General features: G+C 55.5%; 1 protein-coding gene across 10 annotated transcripts in view, besides 7 other annotated features; it reads left to right on the forward strand.

The window, feature by feature from the left end:
• KIAA0513 overlaps window positions 1-9,837 on the forward strand; it is a 66,436-nt gene that overhangs the window by 50,168 nt on the left and 6,431 nt on the right. For 6 of the 10 annotated variants that reach the window (NM_001388359.1, NM_014732.4, XM_047434982.1 and 3 more), the window contains exons 7-12: window positions 453-493; window positions 963-1,041; window positions 3,353-3,430; window positions 4,602-4,631; window positions 8,682-8,762; window positions 9,110-9,204. In NM_001388359.1, coding sequence (NP_001375288.1) covers window positions 453-493; window positions 963-1,041; window positions 3,353-3,430; window positions 4,602-4,631; window positions 8,682-8,762; window positions 9,110-9,204 — 404 coding nt within the window. Of the gene's footprint in view, window positions 1-452; window positions 494-962; window positions 1,793-3,352; window positions 3,431-4,601; window positions 4,632-8,681; window positions 8,763-9,109; window positions 9,205-9,837 lie in introns of those variants that run through there. The other 4 variants (XM_047434984.1, NM_001286566.2, XM_047434983.1 and 1 more) reach the window with 2 other exon arrangements.
• Window positions 133-687: an enhancer, noted in NCBI's record as "H3K4me1 hESC enhancer chr16:85111701-85112255 (GRCh37/hg19 assembly coordinates)". NCBI's record gives its function as "activates a minimal SCP1, AML or CMV promoter by ChIP-STARR-seq in naive H9 embryonic stem cells {active_cell/tissue: H9 hESC(naive)}" and the evidence as "EXISTENCE:reporter gene assay evidence [ECO:0000049][PMID:30033119]".
• Window positions 3,789-4,616: an enhancer, noted in NCBI's record as "H3K27ac-H3K4me1 hESC enhancer chr16:85115357-85116184 (GRCh37/hg19 assembly coordinates)". NCBI's record gives its function as "activates a minimal SCP1, AML or CMV promoter by ChIP-STARR-seq in primed H9 embryonic stem cells {active_cell/tissue: H9 hESC(primed)}" and the evidence as "EXISTENCE:reporter gene assay evidence [ECO:0000049][PMID:30033119]".
• Window positions 4,617-5,444: an enhancer, noted in NCBI's record as "OCT4-NANOG-H3K27ac-H3K4me1 hESC enhancer chr16:85116185-85117012 (GRCh37/hg19 assembly coordinates)". NCBI's record gives its function as "activates a minimal SCP1, AML or CMV promoter by ChIP-STARR-seq in naive and primed H9 embryonic stem cells {active_cell/tissue: H9 hESC(naive and primed)}" and the evidence as "EXISTENCE:reporter gene assay evidence [ECO:0000049][PMID:30033119]".
• Window positions 5,445-6,270: an enhancer, noted in NCBI's record as "OCT4-NANOG-H3K27ac-H3K4me1 hESC enhancer chr16:85117013-85117838 (GRCh37/hg19 assembly coordinates)". NCBI's record gives its function as "activates a minimal SCP1, AML or CMV promoter by ChIP-STARR-seq in naive and primed H9 embryonic stem cells {active_cell/tissue: H9 hESC(naive and primed)}" and the evidence as "EXISTENCE:reporter gene assay evidence [ECO:0000049][PMID:30033119]".
• Window positions 5,445-6,371: a biological region, named in NCBI's record as "OCT4-NANOG-H3K27ac-H3K4me1 hESC enhancer GRCh37_chr16:85117013-85117838".
• Window positions 6,198-6,371: a silencer, noted in NCBI's record as "fragment chr16:85117766-85117939 (GRCh37/hg19 assembly coordinates)". NCBI's record gives its function as "represses an EF-1alpha promoter that drives an FKBP-Casp9 reporter gene in an ReSE screen in K562 erythroleukemia cells {active_cell/tissue: K562}" and the evidence as "EXISTENCE:reporter gene assay evidence [ECO:0000049][PMID:32094911]".
• Window positions 8,893-8,942: a silencer, noted in NCBI's record as "silent region_7799". NCBI's record gives its function as "represses an Ori minimal core promoter by ATAC-STARR-seq in GM12878 lymphoblastoid cells {active_cell/tissue: GM12878}" and the evidence as "EXISTENCE:reporter gene assay evidence [ECO:0000049][PMID:35858748]".

Consider the following 9,837-nt stretch of genomic DNA (forward strand, 5'->3'; position numbering starts at 1 on the left):
ACACGGTCTTGAGTCGCAGGAGAAAAAACACTGTCCCCAGGAGAGCAGGGCTCTGACAGACACTCGAGGAATGCTTTGGGGACGGGCACATCAGAAGTAGACGCGTAGAAGCTAAGACTTCCACAAGGAAGAGGGATGCGGCAGCCAGAGGGAGCCCCCGGGGTCCCCTGTTCCCACTCATGGCTGGGCCACAGCCGGGTGCCTTGGCCTCCTCCTCTACCCCATTCAGCTTTGGATTCAGAGAAAATGACATAAAGAAACCTCAATGCCACATTTCCTGAATTCTGAAACACTGGCAGTTGACAAATAGAGCCTTGATTTCATAAAAGGCTTTTCAGAGCAAGCCGTATTAAATGTACCCAGTCCCACCTTAGAAGTGTAGAACAGCGTCTTTGAGTTGAGAAAGTGTGGTGTGAGTCGCGTGTGTCATCATTGTGCCTTCTCTCCCTCAGGGAAGACGAGAACAAACCCCAGGAGAAGCGGCCCAGGGCTGGTGAGTCTGCCCAGGCAGCAGCAGGAGACGCCCAGCCCACAGCCCCTCAGCCAGCACACAAGCAGGTGCACGGCCTCTGGGGCTTTCCTGCCTCCACGGAGCATGGGCACCTTGCCCTGGGTGATGCCCCAGTTGCTTCCCAGCTCCCGTGGTTGTATTTTCTCACTGAGTTTCTGTGGAAGAGCCAGTTTTCTCAGGAGGAACTAAATTCCTTATCCCAGGAAGGCTAAGGGTTACTGCGAGGGGCTGTGGCCATGCTACGGAACCATCCCTCAGAAGAAGTCCTTATTGCCGGGTGGGAATAGCACCGTTACTGGCTATGGCTAGCAGAAAAGCCACGGTGGGGTTTGCATCACGTGTTTCAGTGACATTCGGGGAGAAACTGGCTGCTGGGAGGCTGTCACCCGGGGTTTGCCAACAGTGGGTGCGCAACCAGAGCTGCTTTCAGCCATTCTCTCTCCTCCCACAGTGACCGCGTACAGCCCCGAGGACGAAAAGAAGGGGGAGAAGATCTACCTGTACACGCACCTGAAGCAACAGCCCATCTGGTAAGGCCGAGCCCGCGGCTTCCCGTCACCCTCTTACTGACGGGGCCAGCAGTCACTCCCCGGGATCACTTCTAGCTGCCTTTGTCCCCATCAGAATGGCAGAATTCTCACACTCACCAGAGTGGCAGAATAAAAAGATGAACACTCACAGGCGTTGGTGAGGATGTGGAGAAACTGGAGCTCTCCTGTATGGCTAGGAGCAATGTAAATGAGCAGCCGCTGAGAAACAGTCTGGCAGTTCCTTTAAAGGTGAAACACAAGAGTTACTCTGTGACCCAGCAGCTCCACTCCTAGGAGTCGCCCAAGAGAAAAACATGTCCTCACAAAACCTTGTACACAAATGTCTGTAGCAACGTCGTTTATTATGGCCCCGAGGTGGAAACCACCTTCATGGCTGTCCAGTGATGAATGGGTAAACAAAATGTGGTCCATCCGTTGCATGGACTATTAGCCAGCCATGAAAAGCAATGGCATGCTGCTCCACGCTGTAGCAGGGATAGACCTGGGAAACATCGTGAAACTCAGTGGAAGAAGCCAGACACAGAAGCCCAAGTATTGTATCATCCCTATGAAATGTCCAGAACTGCAGATTCCTAGAGACACAGCAGATGACAGATTGCCCGGGCAGAGGGTGGGGAATGGGGAGCAGGGCGTGACTGCTGATGGGGATGGGGCTTCTTTATGGGGTGAGAGAATGTTCTGGAAATGGTGGTGGCTGCACAACTCTGTGAATACACTAAAAATCACTGAATTGTATGTTTTAGAGGGTGAATTTCATGGCAAGTGAATTATATCCTAATTAAGCTCTTACATATATATACGTGAATGGAGGTCATGGTTGAAGTGTGAGACCAGTGTTGCAGGGGAAATCTTGGCCGCCCTGGCATATGGCCTGGCTCCGCAGATGATGGTCGTGCTGCGTTAATCTCTCTGAAGCCTCTCCTCGACATATTTTAGAGTGCTTTGCTAGCACCTGGAATCAGTGTCAGACGGGCCCTCCCTCCCCTGAAGATCACAGTTGGCTGTGGTGCATTTTGCCCGTTAACCAAGCAAGGGTTACTTGAGGAGCTTGGCCAGGGAGCGCTGCCGGGACCCAGAGGGCAGAGGGCAGAGGGCAGGGCCGGAGCTGTCAGGAAGGCCCTTGAGGAGGCTGGACCCGGTTCCCATGGAAGCAGAGGACGGGGAGAAGCTGGCCCGCTTTGTCCCGCTGTCTGGTGATTCAGCTCAGCTCCTCTGTCCTTGACTTGGCTGCTGTCTTTTCATTGTCACTTGGCAAACTTTTCTGTGAAAGGCCAGATAATAAATATGTTAGACTTTGCGGGCCAGATGGTCTCTGCTGCAGCCACACCACTATGCTGTTGTAGCGTGAACACCACCAGAGACGTTGTATAAATGGATGAGCGTGGCTTGTTCCAATAAAACTTTATTTACAGAAACAAGCCACTGGCCCGCTTCAGCCTACACACCATCGTTTGCCAACCCCTGATGTTCTTTAAGAAGAATTTTTCTGCTGGGCACAGTGGCTCATGCCTGCAATCCCAGCACTTTGGGAGGCCAAAGCGGGTAGATTACCTGTGGTCAGGAGCTCGAGACCAGCCTGGTCAACATGGCGAAACCCCCATCTCTACTAAAAATACAAAATAAGCTGGGTGTGGTGGCGCATGCCTATAATCCCAGCTACTCAGGAGGCTGAGGCAGGAGAATGCTTGAACCTGGGAGGCAGAGGTTGCAGTGAGCCGAGATTGTGCCATTGAACTCCAGCCTAGGCAACAAGAGTGAAACTCCATCTCAAAAAAATAAATAAATAAATAAAATAAGAATGTTTTTTTCCTTGAGTATCCCTATGAACGTTAGTTCGCTCAGCACACGAGGAGTCCCTGCCTGGTTGCCATTGATGTTACTAGACCCTGATGTAGAAAAGCACACCTTCCCAGCCCTCTGCTTCGTCTTGGGAGTCCCAACGGGAAAGGCAGAAGAAGAAAACGACCCACCTCCGTGTCCTACAGATGGTGGCTTCAACTTTGCCCGCCAGTGCCCTCCTGCCTGCAGCGCAGCCCGGGTTATCATAGCTTTCCCTCCCACTTGCGCCATCTCTCCTAAGAGATACGCAGCCGCTGGGAGCCCCAGGGAAACAGCTGTAATTAGATCAAGCCATATGCTCAGTTTTTCCTTCTCAGCCCTACCTCTCTGAGACTTCTTAGAAGCTCAGACAGATGTGAGACACTGCCCTTGTTTATCCCTCAAGGGGCCCACAACCCGTGTCCTCCCCGCCTCCCCTTGGAGAGAGTGTGACTGGGGCTCTGTCTTGCAGGCACACTCTGAGGTTCTGGAATGCAGCCTTTTTTGACGCTGTCCATTGTGAGAGGACAAAGCGATCTCCCACTACCAGGTAGGAGCAAAGTGTGGCCCCATTTGGCCTCAGGAAAAAGGACCAGGGAGTGGCTTTATTTCCCGGTTTCGGAAGAGGAGAGCAGAAGAGCAGCTGAGTGGACGTGTCTGTTTTTTCTTCACCCCCTCATGGCCCTGGTGCCTCGCAAGCTGCCTGAGGGGTCACAGCTTCATGGGTGGGGGTGCTCAGCTTGCATGAGCGCTTTCTGTCCTGGGGCTCTGGCATGACTTGGCCTGACCCTCCTAAAAATGCAAACTCCCACTAAGACCATCAGGACCCCTGCTGCTGGGCCCACCCTGCTGTTTGCTGGACAAAATCAGCATCCTGAGGATGAACGCTTGGAGCAGGGTCCTGGGAGGAAGGGCTGGCCACCATCCCCGAGACTGCCCTCGAGAGCTGGCGCCTGGGGAATGCAGTTGCCGCTCGCAACTCACCTCTTGGGTCTGCAGCCTGAGCAGACCTTCCCAGCTTCACCGAGGGCCACCTCGCACGTGGCAGAGGGGAGGGGCTGGCACCCACCCCACGGGGGCCGATGCCATAGCAAGCAAAGCTGCCGTCCACCATGTGCAGCGACATGACAGCGAGGGACGGCAGCCCCTGGGGGAGCCCCTTCCAGTCATGTGACTGAAGTCTGAACCTCTCAGGGCCCTGGTCTCCTCATTAATAAAGCACATCCCTCCCCCTGTAACACTGGGGAGACCCTCTACCCTTCACTCTTGTCAGGAGAGTGGGCAGATGGCTGCTGTTGGGGGGAAGACTCGAGTCTACCAGCACTTGCCGTGTCTCAAGTGAAATTCTTTCTTCTGGAGGCAGCTAAAACCCTCTGGGGGCAGGAGGCCTGGAGCATTGTGCCATGGCCGCATTTCCTGGGGAGGCAGAGGGGCTCGTGGAGAGGGAAAGACGCTGAGACTGCCCGAGGAGCCTCGAGAGACCCCGCTGTGCCAGGAGACCAGAACAGGGACATGCTCAGATGCCCCTAGGCAGAGGGGCGTTGCCTCTTTAGTTCTCAGACTTCTAGGAAGTGAATTTATTTCGAATATTCCTGTCTTTCTCTGTCCCGCTCCGTTTCTGCCTGTAATAACCCTCCTCTGCTTGTTCTCTTTTTACCATCCACATATCTTGCATGACTTTGACATGTTCCTTTGTTTACCTGTTTCTGCTGCCGCTCCAGAGGGGATGCTGGAGAGGAGGAGGAGAAGAGGTGTGTGTGTCCACGTGACTTTGTTCCATTTTACAGTGCGGGCTCCTGCGAAGGCCACTGCAGGGTGGGGGCTGTGCACTGTGCTGAGCTGCTGCAGCAGGCACAGCCCAGACGCAGGTGCAGCCTGGTGGCCGGCGGGGAGGGCGGCCCTGGGGAGGTGAGGCCAGCGCTAGGGCAGGCTGGCAATGCGTCCCAGAACTGGGCAGGTGGGAGCCTGCCAAGGCCGGAGCACTCCGAAATAGTCAGAAAGCAAATGTGACACCTTGAGACGCCCTGGCGACAGCATGAGCTCGAGAGGCAAAGGCGGTGACGCCGGGGAAAGCGGGCTCCAGTTCTGAGCCAGCCGTGCTCTCCACCAGCCACTCCGGCCCCTTCTGAGCAGACCTGAAAGCCTCACCCTTGGCCTTACTGTTCACACTGGAGAAGTGGGTCCCGGCTCATCTGGGAAGCCACGGGTGGGGTGCAGAGCCTGTCCTGTTTGCAACACCACCCACTCTTGGGTGTCCTGGGGCCGCCAGTTTGAGGGAGGCACGGAAGAAGGACACACTCCCACTTTCCCAGCCACTCGGATGGGGGTGCGAGGGGCCCCCGAGGAAATCCGAGAATGGGGCTGTTTCCTGCCAGCCCACAGAGGGGTCTGACTCTCTCTGTTCCCCTTTCTGTGGGCTCGAATCCTTTGTGATGTATTTTTAGAGTCGCTGATCTGCCTCTTTAAATAGAGTCCCTGAGACGATGGCTCTTTTGTTGGAGGATTCATGAAGTTGCCTCCTCTAATCAGTGGTATGTCTGTAGTGTTTATTGTCATGAGCAATCGTGTTTCTTATGCAGACTTACGGCTTTCAAAGGAGGACTTAGGCCTAACAAACACCTCCTTTCATGAACAAAGCCCCTAGGTTTTCACTGACTCTCTGGGTGACTGTGTGTTTAACCAGCCTTCCAGGAACGAGTCAGCCCCACAGCCCTAGCCCAAGGAGGGCTGGGAGCATCCCAGCGTCCTCTGAGAGCTGGTTGGTACTGCTGGGGAGGGGTGGTCTGTCCTGAGCTCAGCTGAGGGGACAGCTGGCCTCTTGGGCCTTCTCACCGAGGCAGATTCGCTTTGACCACCCATAGCTCTGCACCAGTGCACCAGCTCCTCATCTCTGACCGGCCCCTGAGCCTTCCCCAGAAGAAGGCTGAATATTGCTTTGAGATTGAGGCAGGTGGCAGGGGGCGAGGTTGGCTCCAAGTCCCCAGGCAACCTCATGCTTCCAACATGCCATCTCTTTTTTGGTAACTTCTGCTGACAGCAAGATGCCATTATCATCCTCTCTGTGTACAGAGGCAGACGATTCTGCATTTCAGAAGGTTTCCCTCTCAGCAGGCTGTTGGTCCCGTCCAGATTCCCACTGTAGCGGTGTAGATGCATGTTCAGCTCGCTGCCCAGTGTCAGAGCTTGACCAGTACTGGAAATTGAACTCTTCTAATTTTTTTTTTTTTTTTTTTTTTTGAGATGGAGTCTCGCTCTGTTGCCCAGGCTGGAGTGCAGTGGCACAATCTCAGCTCACTGCAACCTCCATCTCCTGGGTTCAAGCGATTCTCCTGCCTCAGCCTCCCGAGTAGTTAGGATTACAAGTGCCCGCCACCATGCCCAGCTAATTTCTCTTTTCTTTTCTTTTTCTTTTTTTTTTTTGAGACAGACTTTTGCTCTTGTTGCCCAGGCTGGAGTACAGTGGTGCGATCTCGGCTCACTGTAACCTCTGCCTCCCAGGTTCAAGCGGTTCTCCTGCCTCAGCCTCCCGAGTAGCTGGGATTACAGGTGCCCGCCACCACACGTGGCTAATTTTTCTTTTCGTTCTCTTTTTTTTTTTTTTTTTGAGATGGAGTTTTGCTCTTGTTGCCCAGGCTGGAGTGCAATGGTGCGATCTCGGCTCACTGCAACCTCTGCCTCCCGGGTTCAAGCAATTCTCCTGCCTCAGCCTCCCGAGTAGCTGGGATTAGAGGCACCCACCACCATGCCTGGCTCATTTCGTATTTTTAGTATAGACGGGGTTTCACCATGTTGGTCAGGCTGGCCTCAAACTCCTGACCTCAGGTGGTCCACCTGTCTCACCCTCCCAAAGTGCTGGGATTACAGGCATGAGCCACTGCGCCCGGCCTAATTTTTGTATTTTTAGTAGAGACAGAGTTGCCATGTTGGCCAGGCTGGTCTTGAACTCCTGAACTCAGGTAATCTGACCGCCTCGGCCTCCCAAAGTGCTGGGATGACAGGCATGAGCCACCGCACCCGGCCTGAACTCAGTTGTAAGAAGTGATTTTATCGTGGGCATTACCTGATCTGCTACTGCCAGTGACCATTTACCTCTTTCTTGAGACATCAGGTTAAATGTCCCAGCTTTCGTCTTCACCATGGCAAGAAGAATCGCCTCCTCATTTGGCTCAGGAAGAGGAGGGGTCAGGGCTGCTGTGCTGTACAACTCCCAAGGGAGACGTTCCCGTGTGGTCTGGGGTTGTGCAGGGCGCAACCTGCACAGCTGTGCACAGCAGGCCTGCGAGGGGTGCGGGGGTTTATGTGTCTGGACAACCCTCAGGGTGGCTGTTTCGGGGAAAGACAGTAGGAAGGAAATGGGATGGGACTCTGCAGAGTACCTGGAAGTATATTCTGGTGTCTTCGTGGGCATCCTGCCATCGGCACGAGGAGGCTGGGAGTGACCTTTGTCAGTCACCCCCATCATGCCCCTGATGTCCTGTGACCCCTGCTAAGCTGCAGCAGTGCCAGTGACCTCTCGTGGGCCAGGGGGTGGCGAGGAGCCAGGAGATCATGTTCCTTTGTTTTGTTTCTCTTCCTCTGGCTTCTCCATGATCCCAACCTCTCACCCTCTCATACATCCTTCTCCCCTTTCTTTGATCTTCCTCTCAACCTTATTTTAGTCAGACTCATCCATCCAGTTTTCTTTTTAGGGGGAAAGGGGCTCAAATTAGTGTCTCCACATTCGCAGCTGCTTCTGCAGGTAGCTTCTCAGATGGACGTGGTGTCCAGGGAGTTGTGTAAGGGTCGGGGAGGCCCCAGGCCCTGGAGGGAGGGGAAGGAGCCGGCAACACAGAAAAGCTCTGTGGCACTGAGGGGTGGGGAGCCCCCTTGTTCTGCCCTGGACAGGTGAGGGATTAACAGCACTCCCGTCTAAAGCACGCAGCAGGTGAACGCTCAGAACACCCTCCCACTTCAGGCCTTGTGCGGAGAACGCATCAGGGTCCCCGCCGGCTCCTGAAGCTCGTGCAAACCTCGGCCGATGCCGTCTTACTGGGTTTTCAGCACTTTGTTCTCACGCCTGGGTGCTGTCTTCACCATGGTCCATAGCATTCACAGGGTCACGGTCAAAGAGACTGGTGGGAAGCGTGGGGGCCTGGTCTGTGTTATTTAGGGAGGGGACTAGAGAGAGCATTGAGGGCCTCGAGAAAGCCAACATGGAGAAACCGCAGCTGAGCAGGGCACAGCCCTCTGCAGACAGGGGACAGTGTGGCCCTCAGCGCCCTCAGCCTCTGTGGAAGCTGCCATCCGCAGCTGGCCCCAGGACGACGCACCTCGCTTGGCCCATCAGGCTGGTCAGGAGACACAGGTGTGAGTCTAAAAACGTTCCCTGGGCCACCAAGGCCCGCTGTCCTGGGACGTTGGGCAGGTCCCCTCCCTCTCTGGAGGTTTCTCCCCTGAGGACAGGCCCAGACCCCACTCTCCAACCGTAGTAAGGCTCTGGGGCCACCCTCGCTGCCTGTAGAGTGCCTGGATAGCCGCGTGGTGCTCCGTGCCTTCAGGGCCATAAAGAGCACTTTCATTTCCACGTCTCTTTATCTTATGAAGAGTGAGATGAATGTTGGGGACCCCAAGCGCGGTGTGAGGATCCCGGCAGGCCTTGTGGAAGGCCCAGCACACGGCTCTCCGGTGGAAGGCACCCCCTTCTGTGCCCGGTGGGGGCCGTACATGGGTGCCGCCAGCACCTGCGGGTCAGAACAGGGCGAGGAGCTGGGGCAAGGACAGCACCATCTGAGCCCCGCTTCTGTCACCTCCTGTGCTTGCAGGGAGAAGTGGTGCCACATGACCCAGGAGGAGCGCGACGACAGCCTCCGGTTCAACGAGAACATCACCTTCGGGCAGCTGGGGTAAGGGCCAGAGTGGGAAAGCGGGAGGGGAGAGGGGGGAGGGCCCACCCTGTGAGCTGTCACACCTGGTATCACACCCTGGGGTGTGATGTCAGCCTGCTCTGAGGCATGGGGTTCATCACACTTGGCCTCCATGCCAGCTCATAATTAATCCGCCTCCTACACGACCCCTGGTGGCCACAGTGCCACAGTGAGAGTTGCTGGTGGCTAATTAGGCAGCAGTGCGTTTTAGTTTCTGCTGACAATTCCAGGCAGGCCATGGTGGGCGTCCCAGAGACAAGGGCCCAGCTCCCCGGCCCTTTCCCCTGGGAGGCCAGCGGGTGACGCTCTTGGGGTTTCTCCTGCAGCACATTCACGCACAACATGCTGGCCTTTGGACTGAACAAGAAGCTGTGCAATGACTTCCTGAAGAAGCAGGCTGTGATTGGCAACCTGGATGAAGGTGCGTCTGGGGGAGGCTGCTGGCAGGAGGCGGGCAGGGCTGGGGTCAGGAGCCAGTGCTGTGCCCGCTGGCGCTTCTGCACTGCCAGAAGGCATGTCGTGTTGCAGTCGGAAACGTGGTGCTGAGCTCTCGGCAGACGGCCCCTCCTTTCTCCCCAGTCTGTATAGACAGACGCACAGGACACCTCTCGTTCCATTTGGAATCCATTTCTGCTAGATGGGATTGCGGGCATTGGGGCCATAGCCTGGGTGTTCACAGTCAGGGCAGAGGAAGAAGGGGGACGCGGCACTGGGACTCAGCTTGCACGGAGCCAAACTCTGGCCCCAAGTTGCCCCCTTCTAAATGGCTGTCACGTGGCATCCTTTTCTTTCTCAGACCACACTGCCATCATGAGTATCGGGGGACAAGGGTGGTGAGGAGTGAGTTTTGAGGTTTTTCTAGAATCTCTGGCTTCTGTGACAGCAGGGAGTTGCTGTGACATTGGCGCCCCCCTTGCTGGGGGCCCGTCCCTGTGTGCCCCCGCCATCTGCCACAGGCGTTGGTTCTTCTTCATCGAAAAGGACTTACACTTAGGCGTGGGTACGGATTGACCCATATTCTTTAGAGAATCCCATTCTCTACCTAATTCAAGGG

This window comes from Homo sapiens, chromosome 16 (genome assembly GCF_000001405.40).
Source record: "Homo sapiens chromosome 16, GRCh38.p14 Primary Assembly".
Classification (NCBI taxonomy): Eukaryota; Metazoa; Chordata; class Mammalia; order Primates; family Hominidae; genus Homo; species Homo sapiens.